Here is a 23,077-nt window from a genome sequence, read left to right as displayed (position 1 = left end):
TAGCTCCTAGATGAGGCTTACAGATACAGACTTTAGAACTGGAATGATCCAGTTGATGAAGACTTGGAGATAAAAAGTCAAAGTATCAGTCCATAAAGTCCCACACTGGGGCAAATAACAAGATGAACAACAAATAAGACCATGATGTTGCCACCTACTTCATTTGTGTATTTGTTTTGGGAAAACAAAAAGTCACCGTAGAACATTTGCAGTCTTGTAAATATACAGTCAGTTTATTCTCTAAGGATGTCACCTTCTTTTTGTTTGTTTGTTGTCACCCAGGCTGGAGTGCAATGGCATGATCTTGGCTCACTGCAACCTCCGCCTCCCAGGTTCAAGAGATTCTCCTGCCTCAGCCTCCTGAGTAACTGGGATTACAGGAGCATGCCACCACACCTGGCTAATTTTTGTATTTTTAGTAGAGACAGGGTTTCACCATGTTGGCCAGGCTGGTCTTGAACTCCTGACCTCGGGCGATCCGCCCACCTCAGCCTCCCAAAGTGCTGGGATTACAGGTGTGAGCCACCACACCCGTCCTAAGGATGTCACCTTCTGATCCAACATCATTAGCATAAATTAAGAGGCAATATGATTAGAGAAAAAACATTAAACCAGGGTCACTAGCATAGTGACCTTGTACAAGTGATTTAAACTATTTGAACTGCATTTTCCTCCCTCTCAAAATTAATTTATGTTTATTGATTACTTACCATGTGCCAGGTGCTTTTATGCATCATCTTATCTAATTCTCATGTGACCCCAATGTAACTCACAGCCTCCTTGGACCTCCCTGTTGCTTTTGTGAAGCCAATCTCAGTAAGTTGTTGAATCCCTCCCCATCTCACCTCCCCCCGCAAAAAAGAACCCAGAATTCCATCTTTAAAATGTTGAAAAAAGTGTATATTTTTCTGCATATTTTGGGAGAAGACAGAGGGGAGAATTACTTAACAAAACTTCTTAAACATACCCTTTTTTTTTTAACCACCTCTTCTCTTTCCTCAAAATTCTTCTTTGGCGGTACTCCCCTTTCCCCCATCTTCCCAAAATCTCAAAGCCTCCCCTGCCAGGCATGGCTCACAACTGTAATCCCAGCACTTTGGGAGGCTGAGGCAGGTGGATCACCTGAGGTCAGGAGTTCGAGACCAGCCTGGCCAACATGGCAAAACTGCATCTTTATTAAAAATACAAAAATTAGCCAGGTGTGGTGGGGGGTTCCTGTAATCCCAGCTACTTGGGAGGCTGAGGCAGGGAGAATTGCTTGAACCCAGGAGGCTGAGGTTGCAGTGAGCTGAGATCATGTGACTGCACTCCAGCCTGGGCGACAGAGCAAGACTCCATCTCCAAAAAAGCCTCCTCATTCTTGGGCAAGTTCAATCTTTCTCTCCTCAATGGACCACTTCTCGAAAATGCCATCTGTAATCTCACTCCTTAGTAAGTAAAAAGCATCAGGAGTACTTATTGTCCCTCAAGCTTGCCCTTGCCCATGCCCCTCAAGATCCACACTCTAAGCAGTATTTAAGGTAGGCATGATGATTATTCCTAATTTATAAAGGTGGAAACAGAGGCTCAGAATACTTAGCGTTTGCCCAATTCCAGAATTTAAAAATGTGTGAGCCAGGATTTGAACCCAGGTATCTTTGACATCAAAGTTAATGCTACTTGAACCTCACTGTACCATCTTCCCCATCCTATACCATAACTCTATATATGTTTCATGACCCCAGCATCCTAATTTGACATTGCCAGGTCAGGCTGTTTTGGGTCTTACTCTCAACAATATAATATGCCATATCCTGTTCAACCAGAGGGGGAGAAGTGAAATATTCTCATCCCCTCTTTACTACTAATATCCACCCCCATCTCCTCCTCCTTGCCATACTCCCTAGTTCCCTGACAAAAGGAAAAAAGAAGAAGAGAAGAAAATATAAAAGAAGAAGAAATAAGATGATAGGCTCAAGGAGGTTTGTGGGTGGTTTTCTGAAGCTGTTTTTACTTGGTCAGAAATAGAAGAAAATTGGCCGGGTGCGGTGGCTCACGCCTGTAATCCCAGTGCTTTGGGAGGCCGAGGCAGGTGGATCATGAGGTCAGGAGTTCAAGACAAGCCTGGCCAAGATGGTGAAACCCCGTCTCTACTAAAAATACAAAAATTAGCAGGGCATGGTGGCACACGCCTGTAGTCCCAGCTACTTGGGAGGCTGAGGCACGAGAATCGCTTGAACCTGGGAGGCGGAGGTTGTGGTGAGCCGAGATGGTGCCACTGCACTCCAGCCTGGGCGATAAGAGCGAAACTCCGTCAAAAAAAAAAGAAAGAAAGAAAGAAATAGAAGAAAATTAAAGCCCTCTAAAAGAATGTGGAATGCTATTATACCTTCTTGTACTTCACCTCAAGACTTGGTTATAACTGCTGTAATAGTCAGGAAGTTCAAAGAAACTTTAAGAAAAGTTTCCTGGTCTACTTTTCACTGACAGAGTGACTGTTTTAGCTGAATTGTTTAGTTAAATAATAGTTATCCTATGTATTATTTTAGTTTAGTTTAGTTTTTGAGACAGGGTCTCTGTTGCCCAGGCTGGAGTGCAGTGGCATGATCTTAGCTCACTGCAGCCTTGGCCTCCCAGGCTCAAGTGATCCTCCCACCTCAGCCTCCAAGGCAGCACAGAACCAGGCACATGCCACCACACCGGGTTAATTTTTTGCATTTTTTGTACAGATAGGGTTTCACCCTGTTGTCAGCCTAGTCTCAAACTTGTGGGCCTCCAAGGGATCAAACAAGCAATCTGCCCACCTTGGCCTCCCAATGTGCTGGGATTACAAGCGTGAGCCACTGTGCCCAGCCAATAATTATCCTTTATCGAGGATCTCTTATGTGCCAAGATTGCCGTAAGGATAGAACAAATGTATGTAAGTGAACAGGTACAGTTCCTGGCACATAGGAGCCTTGTATGTATAATATTCAAGATTCAGGCCAGGCGCAGTGGCTCACACCTGTAATCCCAACACTTTGGGAGGCCAAGGCGGGCAGATTATTTAAGGTCAGGAGTTTGAGACCATCCTGGCTAACATGATGAAACTCTGTATCTCCTAAAAGTACAAAAGAATTAGCTGAGTGTGATGGCGCACACCTGTAATCCCAGCTACTCGGGAGGCTGAGGCAGGAGAATTGCTTGAGCCTGGGTGGTGGAGGTTGCAATGAGCCGAGATCATGCCACCGCACTCTAGCCTGGGTGACAGAGTGAGATTCTGTCTCAAAAAAAAAAAAAAAATTCAATATATATTGAATCCTTACAATGCCCTAAGAGGTAAAGTCTTTTTATTCCCATTTTATAGTGAAAGAAACTGAGGTTCATAAAGGTACCCCAAGGTAATATAGGTAATAAATGTTTAAGTCAGGATTAGGAAAGCAGGTAAATAATTGCAGTCACTGGAGTTATGCCTTACCTGAATTATTGCATTTTATTTTACAACTATTAAGTACAGTTATTATCCCCCATTAAAAATGAAGAAGTAAGGCTGGGCATGGTGGCTCACACCTGTAATCCCAGCACTTTGGGAGGCTGAGGCAGGTGGATCATCTGAGGTCAGGAGTTTGAGACCAGCCTGACTAACATGGCAAAACCCCATCTCTACTAAATATACAAAAATTATCCGGTATGGTGATGGGTGCCTATAATCCCAGCTACTTGGGAGGCTGAGGCAGGGAGAATTGCTTGAACCCAGGAAGCAGAGGTTGCAGTGAGCCAAGATCGTGCCATTGCACTCCATCCTGGGTGACAGAGCAAGACTCCGTCTCAAAAAAAAAAAAAAAAAAAAGGAGAAAAAGGAGGTCCAGTGCAGTGGCTCACACCTGTAATCCCAACACTTTGGGAGGCCGAGGTGGGCGGATCACTTGAGGTCGGGAGTTCAAGACCAGCCTGGCCAACATGGTGAATCTCTGTCTCTACTGAAAATATAAAAATTAGCTGGGCTTGGTGGCGGGCGCCTGTAGTCCCAGCTACTCCAGAGGCTGAGGCAGGAGAATTGCTTGAACTGGGGAGGCGGAGGCTGTAGTGAACTGAGATCCTGGCACTGAACTCTAGCCTGGATGGCAGAGAAAGATGCCGTCTAAAAAAAAAAATAAAAGAAGAAGGAGAGATTTAGAATGGTTAAACAATTTTCTTCAAGTCATATGGCTAAAAAGCCAGACAGAATTTGAACTCAGGTCTAACTCCATAGCTCATACAACACACAGTATATCAGGACTGCTTCTGCCTGGGGAATGGCTGGTATGCTGTCACCTGAGAGGTTTTGCAGGGATGTATCCATTTCTCCAGTGAATTGACCATAGTCCAGAGCCCTCAGCCTTGCAGGCAGAGATTTGATTTGGTCAGCTTACTAAGAACCAATCTGTTTCCTGGGGGCAGACACACATTAATCAAGCTCATGAGACTGAATGAAGAACCAGACGGCCAGTTTATTGATAACGAAAATGTAGCTACATTTGAGATTCATGTGACCAGCACATTCTCTCCCTGTAAGTAGACCTCAATAGGAATCCAAATTTTAATCTGAAATTATTTACTAGATATGGAATCCAAGCAAAGGGAAAAAAAATTGATGACTTAGAAGAATGTCTGCCACATAGCAAGGACTCAGTAAATCTTAGTTATTATTATTATTATTAATACCCATGTACACCAGAGAAGGGGTTATGAATTTCCCAGACTTACACAAAAATTTTTGTATGTGTGTATATGTGCCCTTTTTTTGGTGGGGAGGGGATGTTTTTATTAAATTATCAAAGTGTTAGTGACCTACAAGAAAGGTTAAGAGCCATAAATTTGGCCAGGCGTGGTGGCCCACGCCTGTAATCCCAGCACTTTGGGAGGCTGAGGTGGGCAGATCATGAGGTCAGGAGTTCGAGACCAGCCTGATTAACATAGTGAAACCCCGTCTCTACTAAAAATACAAAAATTAGCCGGGCGTGGTGGCATGTACCTGTAATCTACTACTAGCTACTCAGGAAGCTAAGCTAGGAGAATCGCTTGAACCCGGGAGGTGGAGATTGCAATGAGCCGCGATCACGGCATTGCACTCCAGCCTGGGCAACAGAGCAAGACTCCGTCTCAAAAAAAAAAAATCCATAAATTTGACACAAAATCCTGAACACCTTAGTGGAACAAACAAAATTTGTTTGTTTTCCTTTCTTTTAAACCTATGGATTATATCAAACAAACAAAATTTGAATTGGCTTGATAGTCTCCTGGAGTTAAGGCTGCTATGTCACAGCCTATTTTGATATAACTTCTTAGTTTATTAATCATTTGTTAGACTTTTTTATCCCCATAATATCTTTCTTTTTCTTTTTTTTTCTTTTATTTTATGTATTTTATTTTATTTTTGAGACAAGGTCTTGCTCTGTCACCCAGGCTGGAGTGACTGGAGTGTAGTGGCACAATGAACACTCACCGCAGCCTCAACTTCCTGGACTTGAGAGATCTTCCTGCGTCAGCCTCCTGAGTAGCCAGGACTCCAGGCATGCACCGCCATGCCCAGATAATTGTTGTATTTTTGTAGAGATGGGGTTTTACCATGTTGTCCAGACTGGTCTTGAACTCCTGGGCTCAAGGGATCTACCTGCCGCAGCCTCCCAAAGGGCTGGGATTACAGGTGTGAGCCACTCTGCCCAGCCTCATTCCTATATGTTTTCTTTGCCCTTTTGCAAATGCTATAATTTATTTCCCCATTTGGGTGATTCAAAATCATCTCCTTTTGGAAATAATGTTCTTAACATTCAGGCTCTTCACCTACAGTAATGACAAGCAATTGTCTCTATTCTTTTTTGCACATTGGGTACCACACTAGTAACAGCAAACAATAGTTTGCTAAGAAAAAAAAATCATGGCTATACATCTAGAAGCTCTAGCTTCCCAGTCTTGTTTAGGTTATCTATAATGGCATGGGAGGCATGGTGCTTCAACTGGGGGAATCTATCTTCTTTTATATTTGCCTCTGTCAGAACACTCTTCAAAAGTTCCCTGAATTACAGTTTTGAAGATATGACACAAATCTGTGTCCAAGAAGGACCTAGACCAGGGAGTCCCAAATTGTCATCTCTGTATTCATTCTGCAATATTTATGGAGTACCCTGTATATTATAGGCACTTTTCCAGGCGCTGGAGTTTCAAAGATGAACAGATATTTAGAGTATAGTTGGGGAATAAGACCCATACATTTAAAATTACCATGTAGTGTGCTTAATTAATTAATTAATTTATTTATTTATTTTGAGACGTAGTCTGGCTCTTGTTGCCCAGGCTGGAGTGCAATGGTGCGATCTCAGCTCACCACAACCTCTGCCTCCCAGGTTCAAGCGATTCTCCTGCCTCCGCCTCCTGAGTAGCTGGGATTACGGGCATGTGCCACCACACCCGGCTAATTTTGTATTTTTAGTAGAGACGGGGTTTCTCCATGTTGGTCAGGCTGATCTTGAACCCCTGACCTCAGGTGATCCGCCCGCCTCGGCCTCCCAAAGTGCTACTGCGCCCACCTGTAGTGTGCTTTAATAAAAGAATACAGACTGTTGGAAAGCACAGAGGGGGCCAGTTTTCTACTGTTTCAGGGAACCAGGCAAGGGTTCCTAGAAGGGAGGACACTTGAAGGCTGTGTAGGAGCTGAATGAGCAGACACGGTGGGGAAAGGAGCTTTCATTTCAGAGGGAGTAATGTGTGCAAAGTCATCAAGGATAAGAAGACTTTCTGAAATCAGAAAAAAGGAAGTTTTAGAGGGAAGGAGAAAACATGAGTACAACTGTAGTTAAGTATATAGGTGGTGGACAGAAAGAAGAAGTTGAGGAAGTGTCCTCCTGAGAGCCCTTATTTTCTTTTTTATTTATTAGTTTTATTTTATTTTATTTTGTTTTATTTTATTTTTTTGAGACGGAATCTCGCTCTGTCGCCTGGGCTGGAGGGCCACCGGTGGCGCGATCAGCTCACTGCAACCTCTGCCTCCTGGGTTCAAGTGATTCTTCTGCCTCAGCTTCCTGAGTAGCTGGGACTGCAGGTGCACGCCACCACACCCAGCTAATTTTTGTATTTTTAGTAGAGACAAGGTTTCACCATATTGGCCAGGCTGGTCTCAAACTCCTGACCTTGCAATCTGCCTGCCTCAGCCTCCCAAAGTGCTGGGATTACAGGCATGAGCCACTGTGCCCGGCCAAGCCCTTATTTTCTTTATAAAGTAGCAGGCAATGTCATCCAAGGTGAGGGGATAAGAATGGAAAAGGGGGCTTAAGGAGACTACTGAAGGTGAGGCAGTAAAGCCAACCATGCTCACACAGGAGAATGAGCAGCATTGAGAGACTAGCTGGGAGAAGCAGTAGCATTGTGTTCAGACTTCTCTCTGCCCATTTAGCTAACCTTGACTATCCGTTCTTAGCTCCTTTTGATAGAAATTTCCAACTGGTCTCAATTTTATTTTTTCTTAACTTCTGTGAAAACACCAATCTTTTTGCAGTCCAATATTCCCCTTGGAATTGTTGTAGCATAAATATCTTAAGCTGAAAAAACTATTTTTTTTTTTCTGAGACAGAGTCCCACTCTGTCACCCAGGCTAGAGTACAGTGGCGCAATCTCAGCTCACTGCAGCCTCCGCCTTCCGAGTTCAAGCGATTCTCCTGCCTCAGCCTCCCACGTAGCTGAAAAAACAATTTTGAACACCCACTGTGTGCCTGGTTGTGCAGAACTAAACACAATATAGTCTGCCCTTAAGGAGCTTAGTGATAGAGAATAAGAGAGGAATTGAGAAGGAATACAATAAGTAAATAAATAATAGTACTAAAGGCAGAACATGAAAAGTACATTACAGAAGCATAAATACAGTGTTTGCAGGCTCGGAGTTCATAGCTCAGTTGAGAATATCCTCAGGGTCTCAAGCAGCCCATCTATATAGAACATAAGATTATTTTAAAACCATGAAGAACCACCTGTAAGGTAGGGTGACCTGAAAAGTTAAGTGGCATCGATCTGTAAGCATTATAGAGACAACTCACTTATCTAGCTATTTTATCCAACTGAGAAGGCTTTATTGCTTTACTACCATGTCAGGTGCCTGGCAAAGCAACCCAGCTTTCTGACTTCTTAACTGCCGCCGTTAGTCTCAACTGTCTGGCTACTACTTTCTTGATAGTGGTTCACTCCAAAACTAACTCTTTGTCCTTGTTCCTATGTTGGACCTGCTGCATTTGCATTTAAAACATTTTTTTAAAAATGTTTTTAAGAGGGCCTCACTATGGTGCCCAGGCTAGCCTCTGAATTCCTGGGCTCAAGTGGTCCTCCTGCTTCAGCCTCTCAAGTAGCTGGGACTACAGATATGTGCCATAGTGTCCAGTTTCTACTGAATCTTAATCCTATTCAGCACCAACCAGGGGTCTTCTGGTCCTAACCTCTGAGCCATTTAATCAAGTAGCAGTTTATCTCAGCAAACTCCTTTACCAAAGAGCTTCTTATCCCGACCAACCTACAGTCTAAATATATTTAACCTCATGCCAATCAGCTACATCCTTGCTATACCAAGCCTGAAGCTTAGAGTAAAACCAGAATCATGAACACTTTAATGGAGCAAGCACAACTTGAATTGACTTGTAACTATATTCTTTCAGAACTGAAGCTATTATTCTATATCATAGTTTATTTTGATCAAGTATAACCTTTAGTTTGTGCTGTTCCCTTATTGATGATTTCTAAGCCCACATTTTCTTTTTTTCTTTCTGTTTTTGTTTGTTTGTTTTTTGAGAAGGAGTCTTATTCTGTTGCCCAGGCTGGAATGCAGTGGCTGATCTCAGCTAACTGCAGCCTCCACCTCTTGGGTTCAAACAATTCTCTTGCCTCAGCCTCCAGAGTAGCTGGGATTACAAGCATCAGGCACACGCCACCACACCTGGCTAATTTTTGTATTTTTAGTAGAGATGGGTTTTTGCCATGTTGGCCAGGCTAGTCTCGAACTTCTGACCTCAGTGATCCACCCACCTCGACCTCCCAAAGTGCTGGGATTACAGGCACGAGCCACCGAGCCCAGCCAGTAATCTCATTTTTTAAAGTCAGGCTGGGCACAGTGGCTCGTGCTTGTAACCCCAGCACTTTGGGAGGCCCAGGCGGGCAGATCATGAGGTCAGGAGTTCGAGACCAGCCTGGCCAACACAGTGAAACCTCATCTCTACTAAAAATACAAAAAATTAGCTGGGCGTGGTGGTGGGCACCTGTAATCCCAGCTACCTGGGAGGCTGAGACAGGAGAATCGCTTGAACCCAGGAGGCAGAGGTTGCAGTGAGTGAGATCACACCACTGCACTCCAGCCTGGGCGACACAGCTAGACTCCATCTCAAAAAAAAAAAGTCAAACAAAATATAAACTATTTATCATAGGAATCTCAAAAGCCTAGACTAGATGGGGTATATAGCAGCTCCAAAACTCACCTCACTCCTTAGTTTATGAACAAGCCTCTGCTTGTTTAGAATATACACTTATTCCAACTCCTGACATCCACCACAGAAAGATTGCCTTGTAATTGCAGATATTGCCATATATAGTCCATATGATGAAACCTGAAAGAGTATTTTATTAATTCAGCTTTCAGGCAGATCCCAAAAAACCCATTGGGGGACACATTCTGGCTCATGCTTCAACAACAAGAATAAGCTTGCGAAAGGGAAGAGGAGAGCTCAGAATTGCCAAGATTTATGACAGGTAAATTTTTTTTTATTTTGTGTGTGTGTGTGTGTGTGTGTGTGTGTGTGTGTGTGTGTGTGTGTGTGTAGAGACGGGGTTTTGCCATGTTGCCCGAGCTGGTCTCAAACTCCTAGGCTCAAGCAATCCTCCCACCTTGGGCTCCCAAAGTGCTGGGACTATAGGTGTGAGCCACCACAAGGCTGTAATTATTACTGCCAGATGCTGTGTGTTTGAATTTCTTTCTAAAAAATTATTCAATTTATTGGGAAGTCCCTACTGTTACTAGGTACTAGGGATTGAGGGATTCTATTGACACATAGACTTGGTCCCTGACCTTTCAAAGCATACACCTAGATAATGAAATCATCAATTCCAATTAAATTGTGTTAAATACAAGGTAAGTATCAAGTATGGGAACATATCCTCCTTTCTTTTTGCCAGGTTAACTCTATTTGTTTTTCAGGTTTCAGTTTAAACATCACTTTCTCAGGGAACCTTTCCCTAACCCTTACAGTCTAGGCTACTCAGTATATTATACCCTATATTCTTTCTCAGCACTTTACGTGTTTAATTAAGAATTACAGATTTTGGCCCGGCACAGTGGCTCACACCTGTAATCCTAGCACTTTTGGGAGGCCGAGGTGGGCGGATCACCTGAGGCCAGAAGTTTGAGACTAGCCGAGATCGCGCCACTGCACTCCAGCCCGGGCGACAGAGTGAGACTCCGTCTCAAAAAAAAAAAACAAAAACAAAAAACAAAAAAGAATTGGATAACCTGGGAGGATGTGCTAGACAACCTATGTTTCCATGGAAGGTACTCAGTAATCTTTTAATTTATTTCAAAGTATTTTACAGTTTGCTCCTACATTAGTCTAGTCATAAGAAAGGTGCATACCCCTATAGAATCAGATAAACCTCTAAGGGGCTGCTATACAATGCCTGACACTATACTAAAAGAACATCCAGTTGGCCAGGCGCAGTGGCTCACGCCTGTAATCCCAGTACTTTGGGAGGCCGAGGCAGGCGGATCACCTGAGGTCAGGAGTTCAAGACCAGCCTGGCCAACATGGTGAAACCCCGTCTCTACTAAAAATACAAAAATTAGCCGGGCGTGGTGGCAGGCACCTGTAATCCCAGCTACTCAGGAGGCTGAGGCAGGAGAATGGCTTGAACCCAGGAGGCAGAGGTTGCAGTGAGACGAGATCTCACCATTGCCTGGGGGACAAGAGCAAGACTTCGCCAAAAAAAAAAAATTAAAATAAATAAATGAAAGAACATCCAGTTATCCTTTCACCTGTTTCCAAGTTTGGAGTAATTTTTCTTGACATTCAGAACTTTATATATAGAAGTTGCTCAATAAATGTTTGTGAGGGTTAATAATACTTGTGGGTAAGTTCTGTAGGCCACATTTGGTTGTACCAACTCTGAGATGTCTCTGGAGATTCAGACTGATGGGCACATAATGCCTGTGACATGAATATAGTATTTATAGAAATAGAGCTTTTTATAAACTTCTGTTCCCTTGTATTCTGTTAGTCCTGAGATGCCTGAAAATGAAGCCACCTTCGCAATAACTGCTGGAGGAATTGGGGATGCCAAGGAGTAGGTGGTGAATTGATGCAAATTGCTTCTTAGTGCTTATTAGGAGCTGAAGAAATGGAAAAGCAGTCTCCAATTTCACATCTTGAAATAGAGGTTTTTTCCCACATGTTACTAAAGAAAAGTCAGCAAAGAGATTTAAATCTTATATTTATCTTAAAAGTCCCTGATTTATGATAACTATACATTGTATGTAAATTCAGGGATATGTATATGTATGTTTGTGTGTGTGTGTGTTTGTGTGTGTATACCTGACATATATAGTAGATATATATACCTATTGAAATTCTCTCACTCTGTGTATGTATATATACCTATGGAAAACTAGTTGTTGGGAAAGGAGTACGTGATTCCCTCCCTTTCACTTTTCAAAGTGAGCCACTAAACAGAAAGTCTAAGAGTTCAGAAATGTCCCATTCTCCTAAGGACTTTCCCTTCACCATTTTTCTAGGGTATAGTGCCACTGACTTACATAGCTAGATGTTTTTCCACAAGAGGATTTAAGGGAGGAATGTTTATAGGACACACACACAAAAGCTCTTTCTATTTATAATATCAAACTGCATATTCACCTTTATAGCAACAGAAAACAGACATTAAATTAAGCCAAATTTTAAATCATTTGACTTTGACAAGCAGAAATTACTTTTAAAAAATGTATTTATGGCTGGGCGTGGTGGCTCACACCTGTAATCCCAGCACTTTGGGAGGCCGAGGCAGGTGGATCACTTGAGGTCAGGAGTTCAAGACCAGCCTGGCCAACATGGAGAAACCCCATCTCTACTAAAAATACAAAAATTAGCCAAGTGCAGTGGCATGTGCTTGTAATCCCAGCTACTCTGGAGGCTGAGGCAGGAGAATTGCTTGAACCCAGGAGGCAGAGATTGCGGTGAGCCAAGATGGCACCACTGCACTCCAGCCTAGGTGACAGAGTGAGACTCCGTCTCAAAAAAAAAAAAAAAACTTTTTTAAAATGTTAAAATTAATTTAAATGTAAAATTTCTGAATACTAATCTTAGAAATGTGTAAAAGATATTATTTTGATTGTTAAACAAATAAAATCCTGTTTTCAAAATGCATGTATGGTGAAAATATGTAAAAATTAATATACTAATGACAATATACAATGAAGAGCTTTATAGACTTCAATCTTTATAGACTTTAATGTTACATCAACTTACATGAAAATTCCAGGGCTGGGCGTGGTGGCTCACACCTATAATCCCAGCTCTTTGGGAGGCCAAGGCGAGTGAATTGCTTGAGCCCAGGAGTTTGAAGACCAGCCTGGGCAATATGGCAAAACCCCGTCTCTACAAAAATACAAAAAAATTAGCCAGGCGTGCTGGTGTGTGCCTGAGGTCCCAGCTACTCAGGAAGCTGAAGTGGGAGGATTGCTGGAGCCCAGGAGGTGGAGGTTGCATTGAGCCAAGATAGAGCCACTGCACTCCAGCCTGGGTCACAGAGTGAGACTCTGTCTCAAAAAAAAAAAGAAGGAAAGAGAAGAAAATTCAAGTATTCGAAGTACCATTTGTTACAAAAGGTATTTGATTATTCATGAAATTATTCACTCACTAATTATTATTAATGCTAAGCGCTAAAGAATAAACAAGGAAAATGTGGTTCCTACACATAAAGCATGTGTACACTAGTTAAGAGAAAAGACTAATATTTAGGAAAACAAGAGAGCAAATGATTATATAATTAATTCATAAGCAGTGTAATCTTGGATTGACCCTTAAAGAAAAAGTAAAATTCTGCTGGGTGCGGTAGCTCACGCCAGTAATCCCAGCACTTTGAGAGGCCGAGGTGGGTGGATCACTTGAGGTCAGGAATTCGAGACCAGCCTGGCCAACACAGTGAAACCCCATCTCTACTAAAAATATGAAATTAACTGGGCGCGATGACGCACGTCTGTAATCCCAGCTACTCAGGAGGCTGAGGCAGGAAAATCTCATGAACCCAGGAGGCGGAGGTTGCAGTGAGCTGAGATCATGCCACTGCACTCCAGCCTGGGTGACAGAGCGAGACTCCGTCTCAAAAAAAAAAAAAAAAGTAAAATTCCAAAAATGGGAGGGGAAAGGTTAAGCTGAGAGACTGCAAAGGTATAGGAGCTGGGATATGGAAAGAAAACAGAGACTAACTCGGCAAGTAGAAATTGTTCACAATGCAGGATACTGGGAAATAGGAGCTTTTTTTCTTCCTTTTACCTTTTGAAAACCACAGAAGCTGCTTCCCTGAATAAGCAGAAATAAAGTCATCTAGGAGCAGATTTTCTGCATTCTGCAAAATCACTTAAATGGCTTATTTTCGTATGCAAATATAAAGGCACACTTTTGTCCTAGGGAAAGGAAGGCTTTGTTACTTGATTCATTGTGTATATTTTAAATTTTCTGTGTATTATGCTGTTTTAACTTTTTTGTTTTGTTTTGTTTTGTTTTTTGTTTTGTTTTTTGTTTTGAGACACAGTTTCACTCTTGTTGCCCAGGCTGGAGTGCAATGGCGCAATCTCAGCTCACTGAAACCTCCTCCTCCTGGGTTCAAGCGATTCTCCTGCCTCAGCCTCCCGAGTAACTAGGATTACAGGCGCCCACCACAATGCTCGCTAATTTTTTGTATTTTCAGTAGAGATGGGGTTTCACCATGTTAGCCAGGCTGGTCTCGAACTCCTGACCTCAGGTGATCCACCTGCCTCAGCCTCCCAAAATGCTAGGATTACAGGCGTGAGCCACCACGCCCGGCCTGTTTTAACATCTTGAAAAATCATTCTAGCTGGGGAGAGACTGCCCCTATCAGGGATAGCCAATTCTTAGAGATAGCAAAGGCACTAGCCAAGAGCATGCCTTTGATGCGCAAACTAACTAATCTACAGCCATCCTAGCTCTATCTGGCCCTTACACTCCAGAAGAGACTATTCCTTTCCCTTAATCATCCCAGGCCCTGCTACCAGGCAACTAGGGGCCACCCATCTAATTTAGAGCCTATTGAAATTTCAGCCTGGGCAACATGGTGAAACCTGGTCTCAAAAAACAAACAAAAGTTAGCCAGGTGTGGTGGCATGTCTGTAGTCCCAGCTACTCAGAGGCTGAGATGGGAGAATCACTTAAGCCCAGGAAGTCGAGGCTGCAATGAGCCGTGATGGCACCACTGTACTCCAGCCTGGGCGACAGTGAGACCCTGTCTCAAAAAAGAAAAATAAAGAAAAAGAAAAAGATTATTCAACTGGCCACTCCTCAACTGTTTAACCTGCCCTGCCTCAGAAATGTCAACAAAGGCCATGGCCCAAGCTCTCCCCCATCCCAGTGTTCTGCCTCCTGACTACCCCCACATTCCCCAGTGATCTCTGCATGGCATGTGGTGACCCCCTCTTTAGGACCTGAGTATAATAAACTTTCTTCTACAAGCCTCTCCTATCTTTCCTCCTGTGGCGACATCTGACTATCCTATAAATGTACAATTTAAATAGCTTTGACAACATCCTTGATAAAAACTGAGCATCTCCTAGAGATTCCCTGGTATGAGGAGCCCTGGAGAGGGGGTGGACCAATTTGCATAGCAGCCCAGAGTCTTTTAGTAGGGACAGAAATAAAACTCTCAAGACTTGAAATTCAGAGAATTTTTCTGGGTTAAGCAGAGTACCCCTGACGAAGGACAATTTACCAAGAAGTGGGCATTTGGGTTGGAAAACAGGGCCCAAAACAAAGGCCTAAAGTTCAGTGGAGAAGCTGGTTTCAATATGGCATCTGGCTAAGGCTGGAAATCTCTCTGGGTCCAGCCACTCTTACATGTCCTGCTTTGGAGAACAGTGGCTGAGTGTTAGAATGTGAACTAAAAAGCTGTAACTTGGGGCCCAACTTTGGGACAGAACTGCAGATTATGCAGGTATCTGGGCCAGCAGGAAAATCACCAGTGCCCACTGAGCTTTTCTAGGCCGGGGTTCAATTTGTTTCCTGTGAGCAAAGGACCATGGCTTTCCAGTCCTCCACTCTCCATTTGAGTGTAGACATAGGTCTGGTCTATTTCTGGCCTATATAGGGGAGAGGAGCACTCAAAAAAGAGGGTTTATTGGTTAGGACTCTTTTGGTTGCAAGCCACAGAAACATACTGTTACCAGAAAAGGGTCCTAATCCAGACCCGAGAGAGTTCTTGGACCTCACCCAAGAAAGAATTTGGGGTGAGTCCATAGAGTAAAGCAAAAACAAGTTTGTTTGTTTATTTATTGATTGATTTTTGAGATGGAGTCTTCCTCTGCTACCCAGGCTGGGGTGCAGTGGCGCAATCTTGGCTCACTGCAACCTCCACTCCCAGGTTCAAACGATTCTCCTACCTCAGCCTCCCAAGTAGCTGAGATTGCAGGCGCCCGCCACTACACCCGGCTAAGTTTTGTATTTTTAGTAGAGACGAGGTTTCACCATGTTGGCCAGGATGGTCTCGAAATCCTAACCTCAGGTGATCCACCCACCTCAGCCTCCCAAAGTGCTGGGATTACAGGCATGAGCCACCGTGCCCTGCTACTTTCTTTTTCCCTTTTTTCTTTCTTTTTTTTTTTTTTTGAGAGGGATTTCATTCTTGTTGCCCAGGCTGGAGTGCAATGGTGCAATCTCTGCTCATTGCAACCTCCGCCTCCTGAGTTCAAGTAATTCTGCTTCAGCCTCCCAAGTAGCTGGGGTTACAGGCATGCCTAACCTCGCCTGGCTAATTTTTTGTATTTTTAGTAGAGATGGAGGTTTCACCATGTTGGTCAGGCTGGTCTTGAACTCCTGACCTCAGGTGATCCACCTGCCTCGGCCTCCCAAAGTGCTGCGATTACAGGCGTGAGCCACTGCACCTGGCCCCGGCTACTTTCTTAATAAACTTGCCTTCAGGCTAGGCACAGTGGCTCACGCCTGTAATCCCAACACTTTGGGAGGCTGAGGTGGGCAGATCACGAGGTTAGGAGTTCAAGACCAGCCTGACCAACAAGGTGAAACCCCATCTCTACTAAAAATACAATAATTAGCCGGGCATGGTGGCTGGCACCTGTAGTCCCAGCTACTCGGGAGGCTGAGGCAACAGAATCTGTCTCAAAAAAAAAAAAAAAAAAAGAATAAAAAAATGGCTATTCCATAGGCAGAGCAGCAGCATGGGCTGCTTGACTGAGTATACTTACGGTTAGTTCTTGAGCATGTGCTAAACAAGGGGCAGATTATTCATGAATTTTCCAGGAAAGGAGTGGGCAATTCCCGGAACTGATGGTTCCTCTCCTTTTAGACCATACAGGATAACTTCCTGACGTCATGGCATTTGTAAACTGTCATGGCGCTGGTGGGAGTGTCTAGCATGCTAATGCACTATAATTAGTGTATAATGAGCAATGAGGACAACCAGAGGTCACTTTCATTGCCACCTTGGTTTTGGTAGGTTTAGGGCAGCTTATTTACCTATCCTGTTTTATCAGCAAGGTCTTTGTGACCTGTATCTTTGTGACCTCCTGTCTCATCCTGTGATTAAGAATGCCTGGTGGCTCACACCTGTAATCCCAGCATTTTGGGAGGCTGAGGTGGGCAGATCACGAGGTCAGGAGATCTAGACGATCCTGGCCAACATGGTGAAACCCGTCTCTACTAAAAATACAAAAATTAGCTGGGCGTCATGTTGCATGCCTGTAGTCCCAGCTACTCCAGAGGCTGAGGCAGAAGAATCGCTTGAACCCGGGAGGTGGAGGTTGCAGTGAGCAGAGATCATGCCACTGCACTCCAGCCTGCAACTCCATCTCACAAAAAAAAAAAAAAAAAAAAAAAAAAGAATACCTAACCTCCTGGGAATGCAGGCCAGTAGGTCTCAGCCTTATTTTACCCAGCCACTATTCAAGATGGAATCCCTCTGGTTTGAACACCTCTAACAATGCTAGCAAATGCAAGACAAGGAATTCAGTGGCTCACGAAACTGAAAAATCCAGAGGAAGAGCTGACTTCAGCCACAGGTGAAGCCAAGGTGTCGACAGCAGCCTCAGGACTCGATCTTGCTGCCTCCATCTCCTGCTCTGCTGATTTCCGTGCTGCTATTGTTTTCAAACAGGCCTTCCCCACACAGTAGCCAAGTTACTGCTTCTAACTTTGGTGGGATGCATCAAGTTAGAAAACTCACTAGGAACATGCCTTTTTCCTCATAGATTATTCATTCTGGGCCAGGCGCAGTGGCCCGCGCCTATAATCCCAGCACTTTGAGAGGCCGAGGAGGGCGGATCACCTGAGGTCAGGAGTTCAAGGCCAGCCTGGCCAACATGGCGAAACCCCAACAAAAAAATTAGTCGGGTTTGGTGGTGCGCACCTGTAATCCCAGCTACTCAGGAGGCTGAGGCAAGAAAATCGCTTGAACCGGATAGTCGGAGGTTGCAGTGAGCCGAGATGGTGCCACTGCACTCCAGCCTGGGCAACAAGAGTGAAACTCCGTCTCAGAAAAAAGAAAAGAAAAAAGAAAGAGAGAGAGAAAGAGAAAGAGATTAGATACAAGGGATATCTTTCATCATGGTGAGGAGAAGGATTGGGCCTTAGACACCAAGTGTGGCTAGTCAGGACTCCTTCAACTGACCCTGGCTTGTTAGGGCAAATGTTTCACATTTTCTGGTTGCACAGTTTGCATTTCTCCATCATAATAACACTTGTTTTCTTTCAAAGAGTCACCTCTCCCCAATTCAGGTAGTGCATCCTGAGACATTGAATATGAAGTGACAGTCACAAGGATGACAGCAGGGGTTAGAGGCTGCTCACACCTGCAGTGACAGCAGGGGGAGCAGGGGCAGCAGGGCCTAGCAGCAGTGGCAGAGGCCTGACCAGGCTGTTCCTGCTGCTAGACTGGGGTTTCCGGCTCCTAGACTGCTGAGTGGCTCAGACTCCCATCCATGCCCAGGCTGTTTCTGCAGTCTTCTGCTAATTCAATGAACCCTAATGTCCTTTTTTTTTTTTTTGAGACAGACTCTAGCTCTGTCACCCAGCCTGGAGTGCAGTGGTGTGATCTTGGCTCACTGCAACCTCCACCTCCTGGGTTCAAGCGATTCTCCTGTCTCAGCCTCCCGAGTAGCTGGGATTACAGGTGTGCACAACCCCACCCAGCTAATTTTTGTATTTTTAATAGAGATGGGGTTTTGCCATGTTGGCTAGGCTGGTCTTGAACTCCTGACCTCAGGTGATCCACCCGCCTTGGCCTCCCAAAGCACTGGGATTACAGGCATGAGTCACCACGCTCAGCCCCTAATGTCTTTCTAATAAGTTTCCCTTTGCCTTAGTTAGCCAGTTAGATTCTATCACTTGCCATCTAGAACTCCAACCAAGGTAACAACAGAGTGCCTCTCAAGTGCCGCCTTCAGGGACTGGAGAAAGGGAAGCCAGGAGGGGCTTGCTTAACACTCGGGTGGGACAGCTCTCATTATTCATACTCTTCACGTGCTTTCCTACGCCAGGCTTCAATATTTTGAGAGGGAAGTTGTTAAAGGGATAGCTTAGATTTTACTTGACTGAATATAAGGGAAAACCCCCAAAATAAGTGTCCCAAACAAAATACAGGTTTATTTTTCTCTCATAGAAAAGAAATCTAAAGCTAGGCAGTCCAGAGATGCTACTACAGTGGGTCCACTTTGTCATCAGGCCCGCAGGCCTCTATCTTTCTGCTTGACCATCTTAATTTTTGACTTCCGTCTTCAAGGTCAGCTCATTGCCTAAGTTGGCAGCTGGAGCTCTAGTCAGAGAAACCAAGTTGAGAGAAGAAAGATAAAAGGCAGTCTGGGTGCAGTGGCTCACACCTGTAATCCCAGCACTTAGGGAGGTTGAGGCAGGTGGATCACTTTAGGACAGGAGTTCGAGACCAGCCTGGCCAACCTGGTGAAATCTCATCTCTACTAAAAATACAAAAATTATCCGGGTGTGGTGGCATGCGCCTGTACTCCCAGTTACTCAGGAGGTTGAGGCGGGTGAATCTCTTGAACCCGGGAGGCAGAGGTTGCAGTGAGCCAAGATTGTGCCACTGCACTCCAGCCTGGGTGACAGAGTGAGACCCTGTCTCAAAGAAAGAAAGAAAGATAAAAGGCAGAAGGGCAAAAAGAAAAAAAAAGAAGGAAAAGCTCTGTCTAGCTGACTCAGCTCCTGTAAAGCAGCCCTACCATACAACACTTGTGCTTATATCTCATTGGCCATACCCATGCACAAAAGAGGTAGGAAAATACAGACTTTTGTTCCAGACATCAATATGCCCAGCTAAAATTTGGAGTTCTGTTATTAAGGAGGAAAAGGAGCCAGGCATGGTGATGAGCACCTGTAGACCTAGGTACTCAGCAGCTGAGGCGTGAGGATCGCTTGAGCCTAGGAGTTCAAGATGGCAGTGAGCTGTGATCGTGTCACTGCACTCCAGCCCAGGTGACAGAACAAGACCCTGTCTTCTCTCTCTCGCTCAATTTTTTTTTCCAGAGGTTACAGGGTCTCTCTCTGTCACCCAGGCTGGAGTGCAGTGGGGCAAGCATAGCTCACTGCAGCCTCAAGCACCTGGGCTCAAGTGACGCTCCCACCTCAGCCTTCCACGTATATGGAAAGTATCTGGAACCACACACACACACCACCACACCCAGCTAATTTTTTTATTATTTGTAGAGCTGAGATTTCACTATGTTACCTAGGCTGATCTTGAACTCCTGGGCTCAAGGGATCCTCCCGCCTCGGCCTCCCAAAGTGCTGGGATTACAGGTGTGAGCCACAGCGCCAGCCTCCTGACTCTTAATTGAAAAGGGAGAAAGGGAGAATGGTTGTTGGATAAGCAATTAGCATTCTTTACAACAAAATCTTCTTTTACTTCCTCATTAATGATAAACTTATTGAATGCCTATTGTATACTATGCAAGGTGTTTCAGATTTTCTGTTTGTTTGTTTTACAGATGGGGTCTCAGTCTGTCACCCAGGCTGGAGTGCAGTGGCACAATCATAGCTCAATGCAACCTCAAATGCCTGGGCTCAAGCGACCCTCCCGCCTCAGCCTCCCAAGTAGCTGGGACTATAGGCACATGCCACCATGCCTGACTTGTTTCAGATTTTGTACTTGTATTAGAAGAGCTGGTTGAGGAGTGTATCAGTTAGAATGCTTTCAGCTACAAGTAACACAAAGCTCAAAAAAGTAGATTAAACAATGAGGAAGCATGTCATTTCAAATAAGAAGTCCAGAAGTCAACCAGCTCCACAGTTGGCTAATACAGTGACTCTATAATGTCATCAAGGGCCCAGGTTCTTTCCTTCTCTCCACTTTCCCCACCTTCGGTGTGCTGGTTCTGTTCTCCAAAAGTTCCCTTCATGGTTAAAAAACAACTACAGCAGTTTCCTTTTCATATCCTAAGATGAAAACATGAAGAAAAAGATAAGGGATTTTGCGGGGAGGAAGGAAATAGCTCACTCACGCAGCTACATTCAGCTAGTAGGCTGGCTGAAGGGTCTGGGATGGCCTCACTTGTATATCTGGGGTCTTGGCAGGATATACTTGTAAGTATGAGACTTCTCTCTCCACATTGTCTCTTGTCATTCAGCGCTCTAGAGGAAACTTCTCTTTTTTCTGTCTTTTTAGACACAGAGTCTTGCTCTGTCGCTCAGGTTGGAGTGCAATGGTGCCATCTTGGGTCACTGCAACCTCCGCCTCCTGGGTTCAAGCCATTCTCCTGCCTCAGGCTCTCGAGTAGCTGTGATTACAGGCGCCCACCATCACACCTGGCTAATTTTTTGTATTTTTAGTAGAGACGGGGTTTCACCATGTTGGCCAGGCTGATCTCGAGTTCCTGACCTCAAGTGATCTGCCCACCTCAGCCCCGCAAAGTGCTGAGATTACAGGCGTCAGCCACTGTGCCCAGCCTGTAAATACCATTTTTAAGACTACAACCTCCACCTCCCCAATTCAAGCGATTCTCCTGCCTCAGCCTCCTGAGTAGCTACAGGCATGCGCCATCACGCCCAGCTAATTTTTTTGTATTTTTAGGAGAGACGGGGTTTCATCATGTTAGCCAGACTATTTCTATTAGGCCCGGCCTATTTATATTATTATTACACCGTAATATATAATGAAGGCCAGATGCGGTGGCCATGTAATCCTAGCACTTTGGGAGGCCAAGGTGGGTGGATCACTTGAGGTCAGGAGTTCAAAACCAGCCTGGCTAATAATGGCAAAAGCCAGTCTCTACTAAAAAATATAAAAATTAGCGTCATGTCGCATGCTTGTAATCCCAGCCACTCAGAAGGCTGAGGCAGGAGAATTGCTTGAACCCAGGAGGCAGAAGTTGCAGTGAACCAAGATCGCGCCATTGCACTCCAGCCTGGGCGACAGAGTGAGACTCTGTCTCTAAAAAAAAACAAAAAACAAAAAAAGCTACATAGGCCTCTCACAATTTGCCCACAAAGAAATTCCTTGTGGGCCTCCAAGATCTTTACACTAAAACAGTTCCGTTGAATTTCACCCCGACAATGTACATTGATGGTTTACCATCACAAGCACAGGACAAAGGACAAAACTAAAAAGTCATCCCTCTGCTCGCCTGAAACAAACACATAGCTGACTGCTGCCTCTGCTCTATGATTATTTTATCTTACGTGAAAATGCAGATTATCTGAGCGTGAGCAGAAAGCATCAGTGAAGACTATCAAAGACCCAGAAGAGGACACGGACACATGGAGCGGGGGAACAACACATACTGGGGCCTGTTGGGGGTCGGCGGAGGGAGAGCATCGAGAAGAATAGCTAACGGATGCTGGGCCTAATACCGAGGCAAGGGGTTGATCTGTGCAACAAACCACCATGACACACGTTTTCTTGTGTAACAAACTTGTATATCCTGAACATGTACCCCAGAATTAAAATAAAAGTTGATGACAAAGGCCAGGCAAGGTGGCTCACGCCTGTAATCCCAGCACTTTGGGAGGCCGAAGCAGGCAGATCACCTGAATTCAGGAGTTTCAGACCAGCCTGGCCAACATGGTGAAACCCTGTCTCTATTAAAAATGCAAAAATTAGCCAGGTGTGGTGGCGTATGCCTGTAATCCCAACTACTCAGGAAGCTGAGGCAGGAGAATCGCTTGAAACCAAGAGGCGGAGGTTGCAGTGAGCCAACTGCACTCCAGCCTGGGCGACAGAGCGAGACTCTGTCTCAAAAAACAAAAGCCGTTGAGATGTCAGTTGGCCCAGAAACACAAAGGGACAGTCACAGACTCACTGGACAAGGGTATGGCGTGGTCGAATGGCTAAAAGGTCAGGCACTGTGCCAGGTAGGCACTGGGTCACGGTGGTGAACAAGTAAGTTCCTGCACTCACAGATTTTACGCTCTAGGAGGGAGACAAAAAGTGTTTATGTCAAGCAGTTACTAATTCAAATGAAAGCAAAGAAAAATGGAAAAGAGAGAATGCATGTGTACTTGTGAAGGAGGAGAGTATGCAGGTTATGCAGTGTTGCATTGGGTTCTGGGGAGGCCTCCCTGATTGAGTGACATGTGAGCACAGACCTAAACTGAGGTATCTAGCCTTGCTGACATAGAGTAAAGAGCGAGTGCAAAGGCCCTGAGGCCGAGTGTGGCTAGAGTAGAACAAGGAGGAAAGACAGAAGAGGGCTGCATCCTCAAGGGCTTGTAGGCCACTGTAAGGCCTTTGTCTTTTCTTTCAAGTGGAAACCTCTGGAAAATTTTAAGTAAAGTGACATAATAAAAGGACCCCTATGACTGCAGTGTGAAGAATAAATTCAGAGTGAGCAAGGACAGGAGCAGGCAGATTAAAAAGAGGCGAGCGCAGTCAT

The 23,077-nt window shown here is 44.6% G+C and overlaps 1 protein-coding gene across 18 annotated transcripts in view, besides 2 other annotated features; it reads left to right on the top strand.

The window, feature by feature from the left end:
• The window catches only part of DMC1 (DNA meiotic recombinase 1), a 61,037-nt gene extending 38,859 nt beyond the window's left edge, over window positions 1–22,178 (top strand). For 12 of the 18 annotated variants that reach the window (XM_047441084.1, XM_047441082.1, XM_047441078.1 and 9 more), the window contains 2 exons: window positions 9,601–9,717; window positions 11,236–12,377. In XM_047441084.1, coding sequence (XP_047297040.1) covers window positions 9,601–9,717; window positions 11,236–11,305 — 187 coding nt within the window. In that variant the 3' untranslated portion in view covers window positions 11,306–12,377. Of the gene's footprint in view, window positions 1–9,600; window positions 9,718–11,235; window positions 12,378–21,896 lie in introns of those variants that run through there. The other 6 variants (XM_011529835.3, XM_011529838.2, XM_011529837.3 and 3 more) reach the window with 1 other exon arrangement.
• Window positions 16,345–16,753: a transcriptional cis regulatory region, noted in NCBI's record as "candidate enhancer chr22.1887 targeted for multiplex CRISPR interference". NCBI's record gives its function as "positively regulates LGALS1 gene expression in K562 cells {active_cell/tissue: K562}" and the evidence as "EXISTENCE:mutant phenotype evidence [ECO:0000015][PMID:30612741]".
• Window positions 17,774–18,582: an enhancer, noted in NCBI's record as "H3K27ac-H3K4me1 hESC enhancer chr22:38908748-38909556 (GRCh37/hg19 assembly coordinates)". NCBI's record gives its function as "activates a minimal SCP1, AML or CMV promoter by ChIP-STARR-seq in naive H9 embryonic stem cells {active_cell/tissue: H9 hESC(naive)}" and the evidence as "EXISTENCE:reporter gene assay evidence [ECO:0000049][PMID:30033119]".

Source organism: Homo sapiens, chromosome 22 (genome assembly GCF_000001405.40).
Source record: "Homo sapiens chromosome 22, GRCh38.p14 Primary Assembly".
Taxonomy (NCBI): domain Eukaryota; kingdom Metazoa; phylum Chordata; class Mammalia; order Primates; family Hominidae; genus Homo; species Homo sapiens.
This window is presented reverse-complemented; position numbering and strand designations above follow the sequence as displayed.